The sequence below is a fragment of the Homo sapiens genome, chromosome 5 (genome assembly GCF_000001405.40).
Source record: "Homo sapiens chromosome 5, GRCh38.p14 Primary Assembly".
Lineage (NCBI taxonomy): Eukaryota > Metazoa > Chordata > Mammalia > Primates > Hominidae > Homo > Homo sapiens.
The window spans coordinates 95,145,772-95,173,426 of record NC_000005.10 but is presented as its reverse complement, the minus strand read 5'-3'; the positions used below and the strand labels follow the sequence as shown (position 1 = coordinate 95,173,426).

The window sequence follows — 27,655 nt, the reverse complement described above, 5'->3', positions numbered from 1 at the left end:
TTCTGTCTTTGTTTCATTCTCTCATAAATTTTTTTTCTGGTTATGATTATATTTTACTTGTAGTGACTAAATATTATTTATTCCTTCCACTTGCCATATGCATTCCCAATATAATTTAGTTCTTGCAATTTGAATAGAGGAATCAAGTAGTAACTCTAGTCAGTTATTCTCCTGCTGCCTAGGAAATCACTGAGTTCTAATAGATTGAAATTGCTTGTAGCCTCATGGGCTCTAAGAGTCAGTCAATAATGTGTATTTTCAAAGTAGATGTTTTAGTAACTACTCTTTTGGTAAAGTAACATTGTGAGTCTTCGATCTCCATACAAGAAAATAATCTTTATTTGTTCTAAATAATTCCAAGTAAATACATGATAGTTTTCAGTTCAACAGACTATACAAAAAAACATCAGAACAACTTCTTTTCCTAAAAAAAAGGCTGAAATTAATATGGTCTATAATCTGTGAAAATTACCATGTGTAAATGAAGAGGGACTATGTTCCTATTCAATGAATGCATATACTTATTGTTAAGCTCTAGGGTGTTTATTGTGTTCTCTCAGAGCCCTTTGCATTCCTAAGCTCTTGGAGATTTGACCTATGGTAACACTGCCCCTACCATAAGCAATGGGGTAATTGGCTTTAAAGTAAGGAAATGGCACACAACAGAACAAGAGATACCATAGTTCTCTCACTCAGATCCTTAATTTATTCAACAAATATGTATTGTGCATATATTATGAACCAGACACCACTGATAAAAGGCAAAATTCACATCTTGGTAGAGCTCTGCAGTGCCTCATGTAGTGCTAGACATCATACAGGCACCAAAAAAAAAATAGTTTGATATGAAGAAAGTAATAATTCATCTATGCCTGTGAAGAAGTCCTGGGAGGGCTTTTTAGCACTCTAATGGTTAAGCACAGTGGAATTTTTAGCACAGAAATTACAGAAAGGAGTCTTAGAAGTAATACGAATTAATGTCCCTGTCTGACAGCTTTGAAGAGAGTAGTGGTTCTCCCAGCACAGAGTTTGAGATCTGAGAACGGACAGACTGCCTCCTCAAGTGGGTCCCTGACCCACAAGTAGCCTAACTGGGAGGCATCCCCCAGTAGGGGCAGACTGACACCTCACACGGCCAGGTACCCCTCTGAGACAAAGCTTGCAGAGGAATGATCAGGCAGCAACATTTGCTGTTCAGCAATATGCGCTGTTCTGCAGCCTCCACTGCTGATACGTAGGCAAACGGTCTGGAGTGGACCTCCAGCAAACTCCAACAGACCTGCAGCTGAGGGTCCTGACTGTTAGAAGGAAAACTAACAAACAGAAAGGACATCCACACCAAAACCCCATCTGTACCTCACCATCATCAAAGATCAAAGGTAGATAAAACTACAAAGATGGGGAAAAAACAGAGCAGAAAAGCTGAAATTTCTAAAAATCAAAGCACCTCTCCCCCTTTAAAGGAACGCAGCTCCTCTCCAGCAATGGAACAAGCTGGATGGAGAATGACTTTGACGAGTTGAGAGAAGAAGGCTTCAGACGATTAAACTCCTCCGAGCTAAAGGAGTAAGTTGAAACCCATCGCAAAGAAGCTAAAAACCTTGAAAAAAGATGAGATGAATGGCTAACTAGATTAACCAGTGTAGAGAAGTCCTTAAATGACCTGATGGAGCTGAAAACCATGGCATGAGAACTACGCAACGAATGCACAAGCTTCAGTAACCGATTCGATCAACTGGAAGAAAGGGTACCAGCGATGGAAGATCAAATAATGAAATGAAGCGAGAAGAGAAGTTTAGAGAAAAACGAGTAAAAAGAAATGAACAAAGCCTCCAAGAAATATGGGACTATGCGAAAAGACCAAATCTACGTCTGATTGGTGTACCTGAAAGTGACACAGAGAATGGAACCAAGTTGGAAAACACTCTGCAGGATATTATCCAGGAGAACTTCCCCAACCTAGCAAGGCAGGCCAACATTCAAATTCAGGAAATACAGAAAACACCACAAAGATACTCCTTGAGAAGGGCAACTCCAAGACACATAATTGTCAGATTCACCAAAGTTGAAATGAAGGAAAAAATGTTAAGGGCAGCCCGAGAGAAAGGTGGGGTTATCCACAAAGGGAAGCCCATCAGACTAACAGCGGATCTCTCGGCAGAAACTCTACAAGCCAGAAGAGAGTGGGGGCCAATATTCAACATTCTTAAAGAAAAGAATTTTCAACCCAGAATCTCATATCCAGCCACACTAAGCTTCATAAGTGAAGGAGAAATATAATCCTTTACAGAGAAGCAAATGCTGAGTGATTTTGTCACCACCAGGCCTGCCCTACAAGAGCTCCTGAAATAAGCACTAAACATGGAAAGGAACAACTGGTACCAGCCACTGCAAAAACATGCCAAATTGTAAAGACCATCGAGACTAGGAAGAAACTGCATCAACTAAAGAGCAGAATAACCAGCTAACGTCATAATGACAGGATCAAATTCACACATAACAATATTAACCTTAAATGTAAATGGACTAAATGCTCCAATTAAAAGACACAGACTGGCAAATTGGATAAAGAGCCAAGACCCATCAGTGTGCTGTTTTCAGGAGACCCATCTCATGTGCAGAGACACATATAGGCTCAAAATAAAGGAATGGAAGAAGATCTACCAAGCAAATAGAAAACAAAAAAAGGCAGGGGTTGCAATCCCAGTCTCTGATAAAACAGACTTTAAACCAACAAAGATCAAAAGAGACAAAGAAGGCCATTACATAATGGTAAAGGGATCAATTCAACAAGAAGAGCTAACTATCCTAAATATATATGCACCCAATACAGGAGCACCCAGATTCATAAAGCAAGTCCTTAGAGACTTACAAAGAGACTTAGACTCCCACACAATAATAATGGGAGACTTTAACACCCCACTGTCAACATTAGACAGATCAACGAGACAGAAAGTTAAAAGGATATTCAGGAATTGAACTCAGCTCTGCACCAAGCAGACCTAATAGACATCTACAGAACTCTCCACCTGAAATCAACAGAATATACATTCTACTAAGCACCACATTGCACTTTTTCCAAAATTGACCACATAGTTGGAAGTAAAGCACTCCTCAGCAAATGTAAAAGAACAGAAATTATAACAAACTGTCTCTCAGACCACAGTGCAATCAAACTAGAACTCTGGATGAAGAAACTCACTGAAAACCACTCAACTACATGGAAACTGAACAACCAGCTCCTGAATGACTACTGGCTACATAACGAAATGAAGGCAGAAATAAAGATGTTCTTTGAAACCAATGAGAACAAAGACACAACATACCAGAATCTCTGGGACACATTCAAAGCAGTGTGTAGAGGGAAATTTATAGCACTAAATGTCCACAAGAGAAAGCAGCAAAGATCTAAAATAGACACCCTAACATCACAATTAAAAGAACTAGAGAAGCAAGAGCAAACACATTCAAAAGCTAGCAGAATGTGCAAGAAAAGTTGTGCAAGAAATAACTAAGATCAGAGCAGAACTGAAGGAGATAGAGACACGAAAAACCCTTAAAAAAATCAATGAATTCAGGACCTGGTTTTTGAAAAGATTAACAAAACAGGTAGACTGCTAGCCAGGCTGATAAAGAAGAGAAGACAGAAGAATCAAATAGATGCAATAAAAAATGATAAAGGGGATATCTCCACTGATCCCACAGAAATACAAACTACCCTCAGAGAATACTATAAACACCACTACTCAAATAAACTCGAAAATCTAGAAAAAATGGATAAATTCCGGACACATACACCCTCCCAAGACTAAACCAGGAAGAAGTTGAATTCCTGAATAGACCAATAACAGGCTCTTAAATTGAGGCAATAATTAATAGCCTACCAACCAAAAAAAGTCCAGGACCAGATAGATTCACAGCCAAATTCTACCAGAGGTACAAGGAGGAGCTGGTACTATTCCTTCTGAAACTATTCCAATCAACAGAAAAAGAGGGAATCCTCCCTAACTCATTTTATGAGGCCAACATCATCCTGATACCAAAGCCTGGCATAAACACCACAAAAAAAGAGAATTATAGACCAATATCCCTGATGAACATTGATGCAAAAATCCTCAATAAAATACTGGCAAACCGAATCCAGCAGCACATCGAAAAGCTTATCCACCATGATCAAGTTGGCTTCCTCTGTGGGTTGCAAGGCTGGTTCAACATATGCAAATCAATAAATGTAATCCAGCATATAAACAGAACCAAAGACAAAAACCACATGATTATCTCAAAAGATGCAGAAAAGGCCTTTGACAAAATTCAGCAGCCCTTCATGATAAAAACTCAATAAATTAGGTATTGATGGGAGGTATCTCAAAATAATAAGAGCTATTTATGACAAACCCACAGCCAATATCATACTGAATGGGCAAAAACTGGAAGCATTCCCTTTGAAAACTGGCACAAGACAGGGATGCCCTCTCTCACCACTCCTATTCAACATAGTGTTGGAAGTTCTGGCCAGGGCAATCAGGCAGGAGAAAGAAATAAAGGGTATTCAATTAGGAAAAGAGGAAGTCAAATTGTCCCTGTTTGCAGATGACATGATTGTATATTTAGAAAACCCCATTGTCTCAGCCCAAAATCTCCTTAAGCTGATAAGCAACTTCAGCAAAGTCTCGGGATAAAAATCAATGTGCAAAAATCACAAGCATTCTTATATGCCAATAACAGACAAACAGAGCCAAATCACTAGTGAACTCCCATTCACAATTGCTTCAAAGAGAATAAAATACCTAGGAATCCACCTTACAAGGGATGTGAAGGACCTCTTCAAGGAGAACTACAAACCACTGCTCAACGAAATAAAAGAGGACACAAACAAATGGAAGAACATTCATTCCATGCTCATGGATAGGTAGAATCAATATCGTGAAAATGGCCATACTGCCCAAGGTAATTTATAGATTCAATGCCATCCCCATTAAGCTACCAATGACTTTCTTCACAGAATTGGAAAAAACTACTTTAAAGTTCATATGGAACCAAAAAAGAGCCCACATTGCCAAGTCAATCCTAAGCCAAAAGAACAAAGTTGGAGGCATCATGCTACCTGACTTCAAACTACACTACAAGGCTACAGTAACCAAAACAGCATGGTACTGGTACCAAAACAGAGAAATAAACCAATGGAACAGAACAGAGCCCTCAGAAATACTACCACACGTCTACAACTATCTGATCTTTGACAAACCTGACAAAAACAGGAAATGGGGAAAGGATTCCCTATTTAATAAATGGTGCTGAGAAAACTGGCTAGCCATATGTAGAAAGCTGAAACTGGATCCCTTCTTTACACCTTATACAAAAATTAATTCAAGATGGATTAAAGACTTAAATGTTAGACCTAAAACCATAAAAACCCTAGAAGAAAACCTAGGCAATACCATTCAGGACATAGGCATGGGCAAGGACTTCATGTCTAAAACACCAAAAGCAATGGCAACAAAAGCCAAAATTGACAAATGGGATTTAATTAAACTAAAGAGCTTCTGCAAGCAAAAGAAACTACCATCAGAGTGAACAGGCAACCTACAGAATGGGAGAAAATTTTTCCAATCTACTCATCTGACAAAGGGCTAATATCCAGAATCTACAAAGAACTCAAGAAAAAACAAACAACCCCATCTACAAGTGGGCAAAGGATATGAACAGACACTTCTCAAAAGAAGACATTTATGTAGCCAAAAGACACATGAAAAAATGCTCATCATCACTGGCCATCAGAGAAATGCAAATCAAAACCACAATGAGATACCATCTCACACCAGTTAGAATGGCGATCATTAAGAAGTCAGGAAACAACAGGTGCTGGAGAGGATGTGGAGAAATAGGAACACTTTTACACTGTTGGTGGGACTGTAAACTAGTTTGACCATTGTGGAAGTCAGTGTGGCGATTCCTCAGGGATCTAGAACTAGAAATACCATTTGACCCAGCCATCCCATTACTGGGTATATACCCAAAGGATTATAAATCATACTGCTATAAAGACATGTGCACATGTATGTTTATTGCAGCATTCTTCACAATAGCAAAGACTTGGAACCAACCCAAATGTCCATCAATGATAGACTGGATTAAGAAAATGTGGCACATATACACCATGGAATACTATGCAGCCATAAAAAATGATGAGCTCACGTCCTTTGTAGGGACATGGATGAAGCTGGAAACCATCATTCTGAGCTATTGCAAGGACAGAAAACCAAACACTGCATGTTCTCGCTCATAGGTGGGAATTGAACAATCAGAACACTTGGACACAGGGCAACATCACACACTGGGGCCTGTCATAGGGTGCAGGGAGTGGGGAAGGATAGCATTAGGAGATATACCTAATGTAAATGACGAGTTAATGGGTGCAGCACACCAACATGGCACATGTATACATATGTAACAAACCTGCACATTGTGCACATGCACCCTAGAACTTAAAGTACAAAAAAAAAAAAAAAGAATAGAAAGGGAAAGACACATGGAAAAATGTTTAGAGAAATGATTAAAATGGCTGTGCACAGTGGCTCACGCCTGTAATCCCAGCACTTTGGGAGGCTGAGGCGGGCGGATCACAAGGTCAGGAGATCAAGACCATCCTGGCTAACACGGTGAAACCCCATCTCTACTAAAAATACAAAAAATTAGCCAGGCGTGGTGGTGGGTGCCTGTGGTCCCAGCTACTCGGGAGGGTGAGGCAGGAGAATGGCGTGAACCCGGGAGGCAGAGCTTGCAGTGAGCCGAGATCGTGCCACTGCACCCCAGCCTGGGTGACGAGTGAGACTCCATCTCAAAAAAAAAAAAAAAAAATGATTAAAATTAGGGTGGTAAATAAGTTTTTAAAATAAAGTAAGGCATATTCACAATTTCAAGTAGAAAAAAAGTAATATGAATTATGGAGTGGCTTTTGACAAGACGGTAAGAATCTAGCTAAGTGACAGTGAGATGTTGCAAGAATCTTCTATCTCTTAAGTGGTTTTATGAAACATACACTTACCTGCATTTTTATGACATTGCTATTGGAGAGGTATGTTTTGATGTGAAGCACTACATGCTTATAGACCAGGCTCCCTTGATTGGAGAACTCAAAGCTTTTAGGATAGAAGAAAAATGAGAAATTCCTTTGAGTGGTATAGAGAAAAGGAAACACACTAAGTTCATTTTGTCCATAGGGGAAAAAGTGCAAAAAGCCAGGTCTCGAGCAGTTTTCACCTATACAACACTGGAGCTCACTGTTGGTCGTATGGGAGCAAGAGGTAACCTTCTATAATTTTGAAGAGGTTAGGAGAATGCATTTATAAAGACAATTTAGGCAATGCAGCTTATCAATAATGGCCACAGATTTAATATCAAGAGCCCATGGAGACTGAAGCTGGTGAGAAATATGGTAATGGGGGGTTATGGAGACCTTGATCAAGAGCCCAGCTACAAAGGGAAGGAATATTACTGTGGTTATGACAAGCCCTGAGAGGGAGGCATATCAAACAGTAGGTCAGTGCAAAATTCTGGACCAATTGGGAACATCAGAGTCAGTGGGTCGAGATCCAAGAAGGACGAGAACATAGGAAACAGCCGGGCAGAATCAGAATGTTCCAAAGACATGACTAAGCAAGTAAGAAACCAAGTCCCTCTCAGAGTTGGAAAGACAGACTCACAGATTAAGATAATGTGTATCATGGTTGATCCTTCTGGTTAAGTTTCAAGCGGACTTCAGGGCTCAGTGTTATATCCCAGATTGAGGGAGAATGTGGCTGCTGGTGGTCTTTGTAGCAGACAGCTATATCCTCTGAGGAGTCCTCAGTTGTAACACGTGTTTTGATTTTATTAATGCAAGACATTTGAATTCCCCAAAGCAATTCACACCTATTAACTTGTTGATTCTCATGATCTTTCACATAGATTGATATAGATGTGTAATCACAATTTTTCAGTATCATGAAAAAAATTCCACACAAAACCATCAACTAGGTCAGCTTCATTTCTACTGCGTACTAAATATCAAAGATTGTACACTGCTAATAAAATGAGGGGAGGGTCCCAAATAAATTTGGTGGTTTATCTCTCCAAAGTATTAGGTGGGCACAAAAGTAATTGCAGTTTTTGCCATTACTTTTGCTCCATCCTAATACAAAATGAAATTGTATCAGATGCTTATCGTATTTATTTCCTTTGGTTCCATGCTGAGGCACAGACTTTTCACCAAAATGTTATTCATCTTTTTCATTATTTAGAGGTGTCTCTGGGAAGTCACCACTCAGCAAGGGTTTAAATTTCTCAGTTCCTGTTGAATCTAGGTGGGGCCATGTGACTGCTTCTCACCAATGACTTGTGAGTGCAAATAGTGTCATTTCTGGGTTGACACAGTTAAGAAGTGGGTGTGCCTTATTCCCCCTCCCTCTTTCTGTCTGCTGGATGCAGAGGACTCCTCCCAAAGCCTATGGGATGATACAGCCAGAAAATGAGAGGAGTTTGGGTTCTTGAATGACCACTTAGAGAAAAGCCGTCTTCCACTAGGAAGACTCACATTAGACCATGAGAAACAGATTTCTTGTATTAGGCCACTTGGAGTTTACATTATCCAGCTAGCATCACTGTAATTCCTTTTATAAATAGAAATATTAAAAGGTCATCAAATTAGCAAATAAAAATACAGTATACCCAGTTAAATTTGAATTTCAGATGAATAGCAAATAATTTTTAACATATAGTGTATGTTAACATTTAGTATAAGAATACATTTTAGTATAAATCTGTTCCAAATATTGCATGTATTATTATACTAAAACTTATTTATTGTTTATCTGAAATCCAAATATAATTGGTAAAATTTGGTTATTTTGTCTTGTAACCTAAGAATTATGAGTGAGCAAATTTAAAAATTGGTGACATAATTGTGTTTAGGTAATTAATTTGCTGTATGAAGCATTTTTTGGGGGGAGAGATTTGTTTCTGACCAAATGTTTTCTTTAATCTTGCCCTCTGTGGTAAGTTGCAGAGTTTAAGATTCCAAAACATTTATTGTTGCAGACATTCTAAAGCTAAAATTTGCTAAGGAGCTGCTTGTAAACCTTTTTTTTTGATGTGAATAAGAAAGGAAAGTGATTTACAGAAAAAATTAAAAGTGAGTTCAATTGTTTACATCATTTTCTTAACTAAGGCAAATAATGCTCCCACTTCAATTTCACACTGTTTTGATGAAGATAAAGGAAAAAACCTCAATCTATTTTCAAAGAAAAGTATGCAGAACCTAGGAACACCATCAGTAGGTACCAGGGCTGGTTCCTTTTCTGCCTAGCTATGAAGTAATGGAAAATAGAATATATGAACTCAGATGCAGAAGTAATAAATCATAGATACAAAGAATTTCAAATAATTACCAATTGGAGAAAATAAAAGTTGATTGGCATTACAGTATATTAATTAAAACCTCTTACCATAAACTAGAGCTGTAAAAGAAATACCTTTCTAAAATAAAAGCATGAGATAATTAATGAGCTAGACTTAAAAGAAAATGTGATTTTCAACCATCATTTAAATTTTTTCTTTTACAGAAAGAGAACTGAGGCTCAGAAAAGTTACAAATATGTCCCAAGACCACACGGCTGATTAGTGTTACAGAGAATTCCTATAATGGAAGCAAACTGAGATACTAACTTCTCTTTCACCATTAGGAAAACAATACCTACATTTAATTGCTTTGAAGAAAAAAGTAGAACCTCCCAGTGATATGACACATCTTTCTGATAAGAGTAGCAAATCATACAAAATTTCGAGGCATTTAAATATTGTATATACTATTGAATATGCAGTGTTACCCAACACGTGTTAGGCAGTCCTACTGCTCTCTATATAGTAATGCCTTACAGGCTAATATGCATTTTTCCCCCTTTCATTTGAAACAGGGAGGGATTTTCTCAGCAAGAATGAACCAAAAGAACATTTGGAATGCTTTCATAATAAAGGCTGAATTTTTAATGTCAAGCTAATGCCAACCAGGAAACATCAATACATGGCAACTCTTATATTGGGACTATACAGAACATTTAAAAAGCATTATCTACCTAACCCAAAAGGTCACAGTATATATCTGTCACCTTGGGAACTGAGGCCTTGTCTATTCAACAGTTATTGATCTCCTGCTGGGAGGCAGGCACTATGCCAAGCCCTGGCACAAACCCTGGCTTTTCTGACACCTTTCCTTCACTATACTAAATCTTTAACTCCTAACTCTAAATAAAAACAAGGTAAGATAGTTTGGGTATGTTAATAATCAAAAGCATGTATTTTGGATAAATTCATATACAAAGAAGACAAATTTTGATGTGTAATTTTTGTTTTTTTAAGTTAATATTAATAAAATTAAAATGTTGAAGGTCTGCATCACACGGACTTGTTCAAAGAGTAAGGATGATACTGATATTTCTAATATTGCTTTCCAATTTAGGCCATCCTTTAGATATGACAGAGTATTTAATCCTAGTTCCTGCCAATATTTTGTGTTTGCTGAGAAGAGCCAGGAAATAGTGCCAAGAGCTGCTGTAAGGTTTATATGTAAATCCTGAGGGAAGAGCACAAAGTTAAGTAGTGTTCATGGTTGACAGATTAATGGTGTTGGTGACATGGAATCTCACTGTTACAGAATGAAGCAGGCTATTATTGAAGCTGGGAGAAATGAAAGTAATCTAACATTTTCCTTGCTACCAAAATGATATGTGTGTAGCTTTCTCAGTTTCACATTGGATCATGGCATTCTGTTGGTATTTTGGCTGAAATGTCTGATGGCAATATAATGAGTCTTTTTGGAATAATCCTTTTTAGAATGTCATTTGATGAAGTTGTGCAAACATGATATATTTTATAGATTTAGCTACAGGTTTGGTAACTTCACTGTTTGCTTCACAGCCTGTAAATAATCTAAAAGAGGAAGTTACATGACTTTTCTTCCATTTAACAGTCTGTTTCCTTTCTATGGGTTTCCTCTCCTACAAGTTAAGGCCAACAAAGAAGTGTTGAAAAATCTTGTCAGGTAATTGTTTCATTACTTTTTCAAAAATACAACTTTTGTTGTCTTCTGGTAAGTGATGAGGCACCCTTGTCTCTCAAAGAAGTGAAATTCTTTTGTAATAAAATAGATGTAGATGTAGATGAGTAGATATAAATCTCTATGTAAACATAACAGTACATTATAAACATTATGGGTTTGTCTCCATCTAAAATATTATCAATGCTATTCTTAGCCTACTTATCGTCTCAGTGCACAAGTTCTTCCTGGTATCGTTTTTATACCAGCAGTGGCAAATTACCTACATACTGATGTTTTCTAATTCTAAATGCTTGGAGCAGACCATTCTCCTGAACTCTAGATCCACATTCTTCACTGCCCACTGGATACTTTGACAGGAGTCTCAAAGTTAACATCTCCCCACTTGATCAGAGTGTTTTTCTTACAAAGCCGACTCTGATTCCTGAAGTCCTCTATGCTTCTCTGTATTTCTCTTTAAATAGGAGTATAGTAGAGTGATTAGCAGAGCACAGGCTGTGCAACCAGACAGACTGGGTTCAAATCCCGACTTCTTTTGTCATTTTCTAGTTGGTGAACTTTGATAAGTTACTCACCCTTTCTGTGCCTCATTTTCCTAACCTTTTTTTAAATTTTATTTTTAATTATCAAATAATAATAGTTTATTTTTATGGGGTACAAAGTGATGTTTCCATATATGTTTACAATGTGGAATGATTAAATCAGACTGATTAACAAATTTATTACATATTTTTTGTGGTGAAAACATTTAAAATCTCTTTTAGCAATTTTGAAGTATACGATCCATTTTATTAATTATAGTCACCATTTTGTGCATTAGATCACTGAAGCTTATTTCTCGTAACCGAAACTTTGCACCCTTTGATCAACATCTCCCCTTTCCCTCTTGACCCCCTTCCCCCAGCCTCTGGTAACTACCATTCTATTCTCTACTTCTGTGAGTTCAACTTTTTAAAATTCTACGTATGAGTGAGATATGCAGTATCTGTCTCTCTATGCCTGGCTTATTTCACTTAACATAATGTCCTCGAGGTTCAGCCATGCTGTTGCAAATGACAGGATTTCCCCCCTTTATGAGGCCGAATACTATCCTATTATGCATATAAGCCACATTTCCTTTATCCGTGCATCTGATGATGGACACCTAGGTTGCTTCCATATCTTAGCTATTGTGAAGAATGGTGCAATGAACATGGAAGTACAGATATCTCTTCAGCATACTGATTTCAGTCCCTTTGGATATATACCCAGAAGTAGGATTGCTGGATCATGTGGTAATTCTATTTTTAGTTTTCTGAGGAATGTCCATACTGTTTTCCATAATGGCTGTGTTAGTTTATCATCCCAGCAACAGTTCACAAGAGTTCCCTTTCTCCACACCCTTACTAACACTTGCTATCCTTTTTCTTTTTGATAATAGCAATATTAACAGGTGTGAGGTAGTATTGCTTTAATTTGCATTACCCTGATTATTAGTGATAGGCATTTTTTTCATATAACTGTTGGCTATTGTATGTCTTCTTTTGAGAATTGTCTATTTAGGTCCTTTGCTCATTATTTGATTAGGTTATTTGTTTTCTTGCTATTGAGTTATTTGAGTTCCTATATTTTGGGTATTAGCCCCTTATTAGACATATGGTTTGCAAATATTTTCTCCCACTCCATGGTTTGTCTCTTCACTCTGTTAAGTGTTTCCTTTGCTGTGCAGAAGCTTTTTAGTTTAATGCAATCCCATTTGTTTATTTTTGCTTTTGTTGCTGTACTTTTGGGGTTATATCTAAGAAATATTTGCCCAGACCAATGTCTCAAAAAATAATAAAAATTAAAAGAAATAATGTCTCTTGTTATATAATGAGGATTAAGTGAACAAAGCTCCAAAAACAGTGCCTAGAACATGGCAAATGTTCTATTAATGTTAGCTATTATTACTCTTTCCAAAATGCATAATATAGTGAGTCCTCAAATTAGAAACTAGTAATTGTACTCCTTCTCCATTTGTAATCTGTTTATCACCTGGACAAGTCAACTTTACTCCCTGAAGATCTATTTTATCTGCGCTTTTCTTTCCTAACACCAGTATTTTTGTTCAAATCTTCATCATTTCTCACCCAGGATAACATATCTCCCTGCTGCCATCTGATTCTCCTTCACTATTTGCAATTTGTCTAATCATATCACTCCTTTGATTACAAAACTTCAGTAACATTCTATGGCTCACAAGAGGGCATCAAAATTTCTGCCGTTGTATACAAAGCACTTCATGATCTGGCTTCTTCTGCCTACTTTTCCAACTTCTTCTCCTGGGCTTTCTGCATCTGTGCCCTTCATCCTTACCTAGCTACTTGCAGTTCCCCAAACATAGCATGCTGTTCTCACGCCTTCATATATTTCCAGGTGTGTTGACTCTTTTGCATATGGTTTACCACTGCCTGCTTATCTGCTTGGTAAATTTCTTATCTGCTAAAACTCAGCTTCAAGGTTAACCCCTTTAGAGAAGATCTCTATGATCACTCTAGGTAGAACTTGATGCTTCCCTCTTTGTGTTTCTGTTTTATTCATAGTACTTGCCTTATCTCTACACTGTATGGAACATCTTCCAGAGAAATGACTCTCAAGCTTCAATGTGCTTCAGACTCACAAGTGGAACTTGAAAAAAAAATCAAAGTTGTGCTTCAGAAATTCTGATACACTGGGTATGGATGGTGCTAAGCTTCTATATAGTTATAAAATCCTAAGATATATCTGGTACATACTCACATTTTAGAACCATTGTTGTGTCTTAGTAATCTCTTTATCCTTAGAACTTAACATAGTATATAGTACATGCATTATGGGCACTTCACAAATGATTTTTGAAAATAGAATATGACATTCTTTTGCTGGTGAGCTGTATACATAGTGATAGTATAACTGATATACTTGGCACACAGTAGTTATCAGAAAGTGTGTAATGTTTGGATGTAAGAATAAATGAATGAAAAGAGCTTAGGGAATTGAGAGAAAGCAACTATTAGCATAGCCTCTTGAATCTCTCAAATATTGCAAATTCCATATATGTTTTCTGAGTTTTGGGTAATTAGGATTTGAAGTCAATCATTGATGTCTTCAAAGGCATATCTGGAGACATGATATTGTGGTTTGGAATTTTTATACTAAGTTAGTAGACACAGTCTTATAGATAGAGTTGACAACCCTTTACAAAAATCAGGTACTTTGACTTTAATTATTTTTTAGACGTGATGTCATTTTAATTCTACATGGTTGTAGTCTGGTATGATTGCCTAAAGTCAACATCAAATAGTTTTTCAAAAAATAATTTTCTCAAAGTTATGGATACATACTCAACAGAAACTAAAAAATTCTGCACCATAAAAAAATTAAGAAATTATATTAAATAAATTTGCTTTTTATTATTTTGAGACAAGGTCTGGATCTATCACCCAGGCTGGAGTGCAGTGGTGTGATCTCAGCTCACTGCAACCTCTGCCTCCCGGCTCAAGCCTCCTGAGTAGCTGGGACCATAGGCATGCACCACCATGCCTGGCTAATTTTTTTTTTTTTTTTTGGTATTTTTTGTAGAGACAGAGTTTCACCATGCTGCCCAGGCTGGTCATGAACTTGTGAGGTCAAGTGATCCTCCTGCCTTGGCCTCCCAAAGTGCTGGGATTACAGGCATGAGCCATTGCACATGTCCCTAAATTTGCTTTTGAGTTTAACTATTTATCTAAAATTACAGATGCTATTTAAGTGAGTTAAATTCCTTTTGGAAAATGTTGGGAATAGGCTTGATATTCCTTGTTGTTATTTTTAAAATCTGGCTTCTTAACAATGGCATCCTTCTTAAAAAGTACCAGATTTACTATTTATTGCTATACATATCCTGTAATTTAAAAAGCCATCACAGCCTTTTGTATTTCCATTTTTATCATATTTTCCATCTCAGCCAGGCTCTCAAGTTAATTTGTACCCAGAGGATTGTATAATTTTTGCAAAGCTGCAATGCACAAAGGCCTATAGAAAGTGAAATCCATCAAAAAATGTTTTGTGACTAAAATCTTGAGATTTACAATAAATGAATGATATGTGATGATGAAAAATGCCAGTGGAATGTGTTTACCATTTTAAGAATGTTTACAAAAAAAGCAAGATATTGTCACAGTCCATATTGTGCAGGTCTGTGTTTGTGGAATTGACTGCCAGGCTCAATATGTAACATTTTCGTTGTGTCTACTTAATATCAATTCTATTTATTTACTTAATTAACCAAGGGCTTTCTTTAGTGAGATCATGTATGATTTGTTCTAGGTATTATAGGTATAGTAGATGTAGACTTGCACTAAACACTGATTTTTAATGAACTACAACAGGGGTTGGCAGATATTTTCTGTAAAGAACCAGTAAATATTTTAGGCTTTGCGGGCCATGCTGTTTCTGTCATGACAACTCAACATTGCCGGCGTAATGGGAAAACAGCCATAAACAATAAATGAAGGAAAGGGAGTGACTGTGTTTCAATAAAACATTATTTATAAAAACAGGCATCTGGCTGACTTGGCCCGTGAGCCACAGTTTGCTGATCCCTGCTCCATGTAATCATATATTAATTTCAAAATTGAGAAGCTCTTTTAGGCCATGATTGCATGGTGACTTTGTTTGTACATTACTTTTCCATAATGAGAAATCTTAAAATTTTTTCCCAGTATTTTTAATGGTATATTTAGTTGTTTATCCCTTGATTTGAGAAAAAGATTAAATATAAATCTCTTGCCTTCGTCTTTAGCCTTATTTATACCACTGACCATGGACAAGTTGCTAAAGTTTTCTGTTTCCTAGTTTTCTATATGGGTCTACAGGGCAGCTGAATTCATTTGATAGAATAATATAAATTAGAAAACTAGCTTTCAATATCTTATCTGTATCTAGGGTCAGTGCAAGTGAATTCATAAAATATTTGGTTTATCTTTAGGGTGCCCTGGGTTCCAGGCCCTTTATCCTGTCTCTTAGCTTTTCAGGACCTTCTATAGCAGTACCCTCTTCTATCAAAGATTGGCTATTCCATGTCCCATTCCCAAAGAAACCTTTTGCTGGACAATTGGTTGATATATTTTAAGACCTAACTACTACTTTATAATATATTTGGATTTTCATAGTCTTTCTGAAGACTATTTTAACCCAAATGAGTTAATTTTCACTAATTTACATATATATTTGATTTTACCTATTTATAATTTTCACATAACTACTTCAAAAAAGTATTAGGGCCACAGAGTAAATTATAATGACAGGAATACCGGGCACTTTATTAAGGTGATGTGAGCTTTGGGTTTAAGCTTGTAGTCCTACTCCTCAAATCACATTTCTTAGCAAGCTTGACTCTCTCTCTACTCATAAGATCAGCCATGAATGCATGAGAAAATATGAATTAATAACGTTTCACCAATATATCAGATGTTGAGGAAATTATATTTTACTGCCAAGTCTGTTTGCTGAAATATTTAGTTTTAAAATTGGTTTGTGACTTTAGTTGATCAGTGACAGGAATGCAAAAAAACTTCTATGTTTTGTACAAATATTTACAATTAATTACAAGAGGAACCAAAAACACTTACAATAAATGTTCAGACTTTGACATAAGCCCAGTTTTCTTAAGTTGGCACCTAATTAGAAAAGTGTTCTTCAGTGAGTCATTTCATCTACTTCTCTTTGTTCTCTGTCTTCAGCATCATTATTGGGGTGGCTATGAAGAAAGCAGATGAGAGCTTTTTAAAAACTACCACAGAACACATGTTAGGGAAGTAGTGTCTGTGAACAAGAATGATATGAGTTAAGGTAACTAGAGAATGGGGATCATTGCTTAAACGGAAACTCACTTATCCAGGCAAGTCTGTAATGCATATTCAGTAGAATTAAAACCTAGAGTTTCCAAAATGGTTTGGGTATTGGATTCAGAATATCTTTAATTCACTTTGCAGTTCAGATCATGTGCCTAAGAGATGTGTTTGTTGACCATTAAATGTATCATCCACAGATAAATGCTGGTCATTAGTCTTCTCTTCCGGTGTAACAAATTACCACTTAGCAACTTAACATAAATTTCTTATCTCAGTCTCCGTGGGTCTGGAATCAGGCCTCCTTTTCTCTGAATCTTTTGTTTGGAATCTCACCAGGCTGTTATCAAAGTGTCCACCACACTGTAGTTCTCATCTGGAGTTCAGAGTCCTCTTCCAAGCTCATTTACATCATTGACAGGAATCAGGTCTTTGTGTTCCTAGTTCCTAGAAACTGAAGTCCCTTGTTTCTTGCTGACTGTTGGCCAGGGATTGCTTTCAGCTCCTAGAGGCCACCTCAGGTCCTAGCCATGTGGCCACCTTACAATATGGGAGCTTATGTCTTCAAAGCCAGTGGAAGAAAACTCTCTCCAGGGTGCAGATCATGTAATGGAATCAAATGAGTGACCAACCCATCACCTTTGTCATTCAGTAGAACCTAACCAAGGAAATGACTCTCCTATCGTAATCACATCTCTCCCACACTTGGGGGAAAGGGGATATATAGGGTGTGAACACTATGGGGGAGGAATCCTAGGGGCCCTCTTAGAATTCTGACAACCACAGCTATTGTGCAGTTCAGGTCTCCTTCCATAGCTTTGAGGTCTGTGCAGTTTAATGGCTTCTAGCCATCTTGTGTATAGGTTGCTATATTGGAATATAATTAAAATCCTAAACTGGATTGTAACTCTTTACTTTTTTTTTTGTTACAGACTTCATTTTGGTGCTCAAAATGGAACATTTTTAAGGATTAGGTGGCAGGGTGTAAAAAATAACTTTTTTCACCCACCTTAGGGTTTCTTTTTTTATTAGCTATTATAAAGCAAAACAATCATACACATACTAATTGTTTTCAAATGTTTAATGTACATTTGAAGGAATTTTATACTCAAAAAAATTAGGTAAACAAGAGTCCAACAATCTTGCCTAAATCCTTCATTAGAATAAGGAATGTACCCAGCCTGATTGTCCATAAATTGTATACTTGATGTTTCCTGCCTCTCCTTCCTTATAATATCTACCTCTACTATATGCCTGTAATTTTCATTCAACATCTCCTTGCCTGTGTCTTTATATTTTTAGTCATGCAATTCTCCCTTATTTGCCTAGTCATTCTTCTACATATACTGCATGATCTGAGTAGAGCTCTAAATAGCTAATATTTTTTCTGTAAAGCAAAGGCTAAAAAGGCAAATTTGATTTCACTAATAATTATTGATGTATTTATATTCTTAATGCCATCTCTTTTGCTTTTGTTCATATTCATTATAAAATTATACAGGCTTATAATTAGCTACCAGCATAGTGTCTAAACCGTGCTCTTCATCATAAATACAATTCATCATATTTACTCCTTAATCAGTTTTTCCTTATATGTTGAAAAAACTCTAAATAAGATATCCATCAAGGCTAACCTTAATAAATCATGGAAATGACAAAATTATCACAAAATTTATCCACCATTGTCACAATTTTTATTTTATAAAAAAACTATTCTAATATTTAATATTATGAAAGGTATATTATAAAATTATTTTTCGATAGTCTAGTTTTATTGGCTTTCTTCGTTGTTTCACTTATTTTAAAAATCAGTTCATGTAGGCATTTTAGGCAATCTTCACACAATTTCAGTTATAGGATTGAAGAACTTGTTTGCCATAATTACACAAAGCCTCAGTTTTCTTGGTTTGTAGTTAGGATCCTGTATAATTTCAAAAGGAAGTTAACTTATTTAAGCTAAAAAATTCCTAATTAGTATGTAAATGTGGAGGCAGCTCTCTTGCTCATTATGTTGTATGTTAGAATTTTTGTAGCTGAAGTAACCCTTATAGTTCATCTCATTCTATTCCTCTATTTCACAAATGAGGAAACCAATACCAAGGGATTTAACATATAGTAGAAATATGTTCAAAGGTTAAGAATGGTTTCTTGGCCTCAGGTTTCTGTTGGCATAGAGACTTCATATTGCTACATGAGCAAGCTGCACTTTTGATTGTATTACTCTTAACCCTACAGGCCTTCTGTGAATAAGAAACAGCTAAGCCCCAGGTATGTGCCTAGTTCACCCTTGAGAGAGGAAACAGTGTGTGAAATATCTGTTCCTGGATAAGTGATACAGTGTGACAAGATGAGCACAAACACATCAATACAGCCAAACAACAGCATCACAACCACCACCAACTCAAAGGCTTCCTACATGTAGTTATACTATCAGATTGTAAGTAGATAAAATGGTAAAATGTATTTTATCATAAAGGAATATTTGTTTCATTATTAAAATTATCAAGCATTTCTTTCGGGCATGACTTTCAGAGAAGTGAGCTAAAAATATAATTTTTACATTGTTTTAGAAATGTAATAAAGACCTTTGATTTTAGAAAGACAAACACAGATCATTCAAAGGCCTCTAATTACTCATTCTCTTTGGAAAGAAGAAATAACCTTAAAAACAACGACTGCTCCTAATGAGGCTTCAGAATTCTGCAGACATTCTTGGCAAAGGAACACTCCATTTCCTCTTAATGGGAAAGCATTCTGTCTCAGTACTTCTTGATCACTCCTCGGAGACAGCACCACAAAACAGATTTAAGCACATATTTTTCACTGCTTTTAAGCTTTGTATATCTGTTGCCATTGTGCTGAGCTTTTTAAACTTCTATGCAAACTTTAATGTCTGGAAGCATTTTCTCTTTCTCTAATTTCATTCTCCACCTTTGTCAACACATGCAGATTTGAGGATCAGATGGAAAACTGTCAGGACCATGTTCTTAAGGCTGCTGTCCTGGGCACAGTTTATTGTGTGTTTGGCCTGCTGGGCCTGCTAGTTGAACTGGCAAGGATTCAGTTTGGTTCACTGAACTTGTATGTATATAATTGTATTAGTCCATTTTCACACTGTTATGAAAAACTGCCTGAGACTAAGTAATTTATAAAGGAAAGAGGTTTAATTGGTTCACAGTTCCACATAGCTGGGGAGGCCTCAGGAAACTTACAATCATGGAGGAGGGCGAAAGGGAAGCAAGGCATATATTACATGGTGGCAGGAGAGGTCGGGGGGAATGCCAAACATTTTTAAACCATCAGATCTCGTGAGAACTCACTATCATGAGAACAGCATGGGAGAACCACCCCCATGATCCAGTGACCTCCCAACTAGTCCCTCCATCAACACGTGGGGATCACAATTTGAGATGACATTTGGTTGGGGACACAAAGCCAAAGCATATCAATAATGATTACTATAATGGCATATTGTTGGCTAAGGAGACTGACTATGTTTTCTTTTCTCCCTGGTCAATGGAAGTGATGGTTTTACAGGACCACATGCCCATATCCTTACTCTGTGCCCATTTCCCCTTTATGAGATGACTAGACAGAAATAGGGAAGTATACATTCTGTCTGGAAAGGAAAGGAGAGTGAGAGCCCCTGGGGAATCATTTGGGACCAAGTTTCTGCCTTTGGGATCCTTAGAAGGTATATTAGGCAGCTGAGCCAAGCAGACATAAAGCATATGCTGATGTTTGTTCCTGTATCTGATTAGTTACATAAATTTATTCCCCTTCAGCAAACTCCACACAAACATAAGAATGTAAATAAAGAGTGAACCCAAAAGTTATTTTTCCTTCACCTCCCTGCCCTGAAGGAATATTTGCCAAAAGAACAAAACAAAGGAATCAAATTTAACGATAACCCTCGTTAATGAAGCTAAACTGGTCTAGACTCACTTTCTGGGTCCAAACTTAATCCAGTTTCTAGAATTAATTTTTCCCCATATCTGGTAACATTTCCTAGTTTCCAAATGGGAGAATTGCCCTGGATATTATATCCATATATCTGATGATGAACCTGCAAAAAGAATAGCTGAGAATTAGGGCTCAGAATATAAGAAAGATATTGTCCCCTACACATAGAATGCATTTCTTTGGCTATTGAATTTCAGTCTGACGTGCCTAAGGCTTCCTGCCCAAGCTCATTTCCATTGCATGCCTAATTTGAAAATGCAAAAATAGTGGAAGAGAATCTGGAATGATCCTGGTGTTTTGATCAGATTTAAATTAGAAATAAATCCAAATCATTTTCTCTCTCATTTCTGAATTTTCATTGAAACTTAATAGGGTGGTGGAGAGCAAGTGACATTATTTATGGGCTTTAGTTCATTTTCTTAAAGTTACTATTTTGACTGTATTAAATGACTTTAGATTTTAAACACTGGTTTTAATTGCACTCATAATCCAAAACTTTTTTTCCGTACTGTTTAGCTAGGAAAGATAGATGGCAAAGTATTATCTTTGGCTATAACCTGGAATATTCATCAGTAAAGCTTTCAACAATGTTGCCATTTACAATTTCTGAGTGTTAAGGGGAGAGCCATACAGATGTTGCTAGGAAAAGTATATGTGTGGAAGGGAGTGTGGTCGGGGACTGTTTTGGGAGTGCCGGCTTCTTTAACCAGAGGCAGCGAGTTAAAGGATGAAGCAGAGAGGAAATGCCAAAGTAAGAGACCACTGCTGGCCTGTGGAAAGAAGGATTTTGCTTAAAGTTAAAGCAAGTGGTAAGTGGTAGGATCTCCTAATCTTAATAGCAAAGTCAGAGAGGAAATCAGATAAGTGGAAAAATTGGTTGAAATGCAGATACAGCATTGCAGAGAGTCCAGCTTGGTAGGGGACTATAGTGGAATGTTTTAACTCTTAAGTCCTCCTTGGCCAAGCCATTTTTAATAATGGCCATTCAGAAGCTACCACATAATAATAAGCTTAATGCAATATTTTAAAATACACAGTTGACCCTTGAGAACATGGGTTTGAATTGCATGGGTCCACTTATACATGGATTTTCTTCTGCCTCTGAAACCCTTGAGACAGCAAGACCAATCCCTCCTCTACCTTCTCCTTCTCAACCTACTCAACATGAAGATGATTAGGATGAAAACCTTTAGGATGATCCACTTCTACTTAATGAATAGTAAATACATTATCTTCCTTATGATTTTCTTAATGATATTTTCTGGCCGGGTGTGGTGGCTCATGCCTATAATCCTAGCACTTTCGAAGGCCAAAGCTGACAGATTGCCTGAGCTCAGGAGTTCGAGAGCAGCCTGGGCAACATGGCAAAACCTCATCTCTACTAAAAATACTATATATATATATATATATATATATGAGCCAGGCGTGGTGGTGCACACCTGTAGTCCCAGCTACTTGGGAGGCTGAGCAGAAGAATATCTTGAACCTGGGAGGTGGAGGTTGCAGTGAGCCATCGTGCCACTGCACTCCAGCCTGGGCAACAGAGCAAGACTCTGTCTCAAATAATAATGATAATATTTTCTTATGCTTACTTTACTGTAAGATTACAGTATACATTACAACATATGCGTTTATTGACTGTTTATGTTATTGATAAGGCTTCTAGTCAACAGTAGGTTACTAGTAATTAAGTTTTTGAGGAGTCAAAAGTTATGTGTGGATTTTCAACTGTGGACTTTGGTGCCTCTAACCCTGTGTTGTTCAGGGGTCAACTGTATATTCTTTCTGTGGTAACATTTTTAGATGTTATAGCCTTTAGACATTAGAAATGGAAATTTAGTTGAACTCGAGTGTTCTTTTCACTTTCTTTGAAAGAATGCCACATAATACTAATTCTGATACCTTTGTAGTATTAGAAAATGATATGATAACCACGTTTCCAGGTAGAAAGATACGAAATGTATTCATAAACTGGATTTTTTGTTGTTGTTAATTTTAACTTTTCTCATCCAAAAGTAACTAGATAAAACTGCTAATGAGAAAACCTCCCAGCTAAAGCCAAAGATTTTACTCCCAGGCCTCATATATAGTTCATTGACTCTTACTTAGGATACCATACTATAAAATTTAACTATCTTTTTCCAAAATGATCAGAACCACCGGCTTAGAAAGAGGTTTGTTCTGCTAGAGGTTTGGCTCCATAACAGCAAAAGTTATAGTCCAATGTCAAGAGAGAAAGAAATAAGGCAGCAGAGACATAATTATAGCATTAGTGAATAAAGTAAAGATGCTTATAACATTCCACCCATCAATAAAAGTTCAAATTATCATTATTAGGTTATGCAATTAAAACAAATATGGGGAAGAGATGCTGCACTTTAGAAAGTTTTCATCAAAAATCATTTAAAAATATAAAAACAAATGGGTTCAAGATGACTGACTAGAAGGGGCTGATGTGTAACACCCTCACAGAAAGGAAACAAAGTGGTGAGTAAATACTGACTGTCCAAGTGAATTGTCTAAGAAACCATATCAGGACTCATCAAGGGAGCAAAGGGACACATGGAGAACAGAGAAGAGTGAAGCTGGGCAGCTGCCCACCCAGGACCAATGTGAAACCAGGAGAAGTTCTGTAACATGGGCAAAGGGTGAGAGAGTGAAAAGCCCTGGGGAATGCACACTTCCTACAGGGACCTGCACAATCCTGGGAATAGGAGAAACCCTATGAGGTTCCTGGACTTCTAGACTGATAGAGAGAACCTCTGGGAGTTTTTGCAGGGCACCGCTTAAGGCCGCAGGGAGCCCAACAGTCCTTGGATCCCTGAGCAGCCCAGCAGTAGCTACTGTAGCCCCAGTGGAGGCCACAGTCATGGTGCTGGGGAGCAGTCAGACTGTACCACTTCTCACCAGACAAAGCTCAGTTTCTGCTTCCAGCACAGTGACCCTGCCCTTGTTTGAACTCTGGGCGGGCACAGCTCTGTGTTCTCCCAGGAAACACCCATATGGCAGACTCCACCCAGCCCCACTGCTCCTAACCAGGCAAGACTTGGGCTCCCAGCACAGTGGCTCTGTCCTTGCCTGAAATCTGTGGGTGGGCACAGCTCCGTATTTTCCCAGGAAACACCCCAATAACAGATCATGTGTCCCCTGCTCCCTGCTGCTCCTAGGCAGGCAAGACTCGCCACCTTGGATGGTACCCAAGCAGTAGAGGAGCCCCTACTCTTATAATACTGAGGGGGTGAGACACCCGAGTTCATTGGTTGGTGGAGGAGCTGATCATGCTTCCTTCTACAGGGTCAGTCTGGGAAGGGTATGGCCTATCTGCCAGCTGTGGCCTCTGCCTGAGGGAGTCCTAAGCCTATAACACCTAACAAAAGAAATGCATACATGGTGCCAGTGATCAGAAGGGGCTCCTCCAGGACACAGAAGTGGACTTGGTGAGGGGGCCATCTCTCTCTTTCCAACCACAGAGCACTACAGCAAACACTGGAATACAAAAGACCTGCATAGCTCAGTGAGAGCCTATCTGCTGGCCATTACTGTTAAGTGTCATCTACTGGATCACAGTCCAAATTACAGCACCAAAAATATTTTGCCAGTATACAGTGCCTGTGAAAATTAAGGCAAAAATTCAGCCACAAATAAAGATGCTGAACATATCTTTGGCCACCTGAAAGCACCCAGAAATGAAGCCAACTCATTATACTCATCTTACATCACAGTTAAAGGAAAGGATCACCAGCCCTCTCAGATGAGAAAGAATCAACACAGGAATTCTGGCAATTAAAAAAAAACAGAGTCCCCTTATCTCTAAAGTAACATACTAGCCCCTCAGAAATGTTTTTAACCACATTATAGTTATAGAATTCAGAATCTGAATGGCAAGGAAGCTCATTGAGATCCAAGAAAAAGTTGAAACCCAATCCAAGGAATCCAAGGAATCCAGTAAAATGATCCAAGAGCTGAAAAATGAAATAGCCATTTTAAGAAAGTACCAAATTGAACTTCTGGAATTGGAGAACTCACTACAAGAATTTCACAATGTAATCAGAAGCATTAACAGAATAGACCAAGCTGAGGAAAGAATGTCAGAGCTTGAAGACTACTTTCATTCAAATCAGTCAGACAAAAATAAAGAAAAAAATGTTTAAAGAACAAAACCTCCAATAAATATGGAATTTTATAAAGAGACCAAATCTATGACTCATTGGCATTCCTGAGAAAGGAGAGAGAGTAAGCAACTTGGAAAACATACTTGAGGATGTAGTTCATGAAAATTATCCCAATCTTGCCAGAGAGGTAGACATGGACATGCAAATTCAGGGAATACAGAGACCCCCTATGAGATACTATACAAGACAATCATCCCCAAGCACATAGTCATCAGGTTCACCAATGTCAACACAAAACAAAACATCTTAAAGGCAGCTAGAGAGAAAGATCAGGCCACTTACAAAAGGAACCCCAATAGGCTAGCAGCAGACCTCTCAGCAGAAACCTTACAAGCTAGAAGAGATAGGGGACCTATTTTCAGCATCCTCAATGAAAAGAAATTCAACCAAGAATCTCATATCCCACCAAACTAAGCTTCATAAGCAAAGGAGAAATAAAATTCTTCTCAGACAAGCAAACACTATGGGAAGTTGTTACCACCAGATGAACCTTACAAGAGGTCCTAAAGGGAATGCTAAACATGGAAATGAAAGACTGATACTTGCTACCACAAAAACACACTTAAGCACATAGATCATAGACAGTATAAAGCAATTAGACAATGAAGTCTACAAAACAACCAGTTAACAACACAATGAGAGTATCAAAATCTTACATGTCAATACTAACCATGAATATAAATGATCTAAGCCCCCCACTTAAAAAGCATAGAGTGGCAAACTGGATAAAGAGATAAGACCCAACTGTCTGCTGCCTTTGAGAGACCCATCTTGCATGTAGTGACACCCACAAGCTGAAAGTAATGAGATGGAGAAAGATCTATCATGCAAAAGGAAAACAAAAAAGAGCAAGTATCACTATTCTTATATCAGATAAGACAGATTTTAAACCAACAACTATCAAGAAGGACAAAGAAGGGCATTACATAATGGCAAAGGGTTCAACTCAACAAGAAGGTGTAACTATCATAAATAAATAAGCACCCAATAGCTGGGCGCGGTGGCTCACGCCTGTAATCCCAGCACTTTGGGAGACCGAGGCAGGTGGATCACGAGGTCAGGAGATCGAGACCATCCTGGCTAGCACAGTGAAACCCTGTCTCTACTAAAAATACAAAAAAATTAGCCAGGCATGGTGGCGGCACCTGTAGTCCCAGCTGCTCAGGAGGCTGAGGAAGGAGAATGGCATGAACCCAGGAGGCGGAGCTGGCACTGAGCCAAGATCACACCACTGCACTCCAGCCTGGTCAACAGAGTGAGACTCTGTCTTAAAAAAATAAATAAATAAATAAAATAAAATAAATAAGCACCCAACATCGTAGCACCCAGATTCATAAAACAAGTTCTTTTTGACCTATGAAAAGACTCAGACAGCCACACAATACTAGTGGGGGACTTGAACACCCCACTGATAGCATTAGATCATTGAGGCATAAAACTAACAAAGAAATTCTGTACTTAAACTCTACACTTGACCAACTGGACTTAATAGATCTCTACAGAATACTGCACCCAACAACCACAAAATATACACGGTTTTTATCCAAACATGAATCATATTCTAAGATAGTCCACATGCCCAGCTATAAAACAAGTCTCAACAAGTTAAAAAAAATCATAACAAACACTCTCTTGGACAACAGGGCAATAAAAATAGAAATCAATACCAAGAACATCTCTCAAAACTAGCAAAAACATGGAAATTAAACAACTTGCTCTGAAGTAACTCTTGGGTGAACAACAAAATTAAGGCAAAAATTTAAAAAAAATCTTTAAAATTAATGAAAATAAAGATACAACTTACCAAAATTTTGGGGATGCAGCTAAAGCATATTGAGAGGAAAGTTTATAGTGCTAAATACTTTCATCAAGAAGTTAGAAAGATTTCAAATTAATTACCCACCATAGTACTTACAGGAAGTAGAGGAGAAAATAACAAACCAACATAAAACTTAGCAAAAGAAAAGAACTAAAATCTGGAAATAACTGAATGAAATTGAGATGCAAAAGTTACTACAAAATGTCAATGAAAGCAAGAGTTAGTTCTTGGAAAGAATAAACAAGATGTATAGAACACTAGCTAGATTAACAAAGGAAAAAAAGGATCCAAATAAGCACAATCAGAAATGACAAAGGTGGCATTACAACTGATCCTACAGAAATACAAAAGATCCACAAAGACTATTATGAACACCTCTGTGCACACAAATTTAGAAAATCTTGAGGAAATGGATACATTCTTGGAAACAAATAATCTCCCAAGATTCAAATGAAATTCAAAAGAAAATGAAAATCTGAACGGACCAATAACAACCTCTGAAATTGAATCAGTAATTAAAAAAAAAGAAAAAAGCCATGGACCAGATGGATTAACAGCAGAGTTCTACCAGACATACAAAGAAGAACTGGAACCAATCTCACTGAAACCATTCCAGAAAATGAAACAGGAGAGGCTCCTCCCTAACTGATTTTATGAAGCCAGTATCATCCTGATATCAAAATCTGGCAGAGATGCATGAAAAAAGAAAACTTCAGGAAAATATCCCTGATGAACATAGACACAAAAATTCCCAACAAAATACTAGCAAACTGAATTCAGCAGC

General features: G+C 37.5%; 1 protein-coding gene and 1 long non-coding RNA gene across 21 annotated transcripts in view; one reads left to right on the top strand and one right to left on the bottom strand.

Moving 5' to 3' along the window:
• MCTP1 (multiple C2 and transmembrane domain containing 1) overlaps positions 1–27,655 on the top strand; it is a 581,405-nt gene that overhangs the window by 111,668 nt on the left and 442,082 nt on the right. The window lies entirely within an intron of this gene.
• Positions 1–27,655, bottom strand: part of LOC105379085 (uncharacterized) — a 121,023-nt gene that overhangs the window by 86,170 nt on the left and 7,198 nt on the right. For both annotated transcript variants that reach the window (XR_948575.3, XR_948578.3), the window contains exons 2-3: positions 16,699–16,826; positions 7,046–7,139 (exon numbers count right to left, since the gene is read on the bottom strand). This is a non-coding gene — a long non-coding RNA (uncharacterized LOC105379085). The remainder of the gene's footprint in view (positions 1–7,045; positions 7,140–16,698; positions 16,827–27,655) is intronic.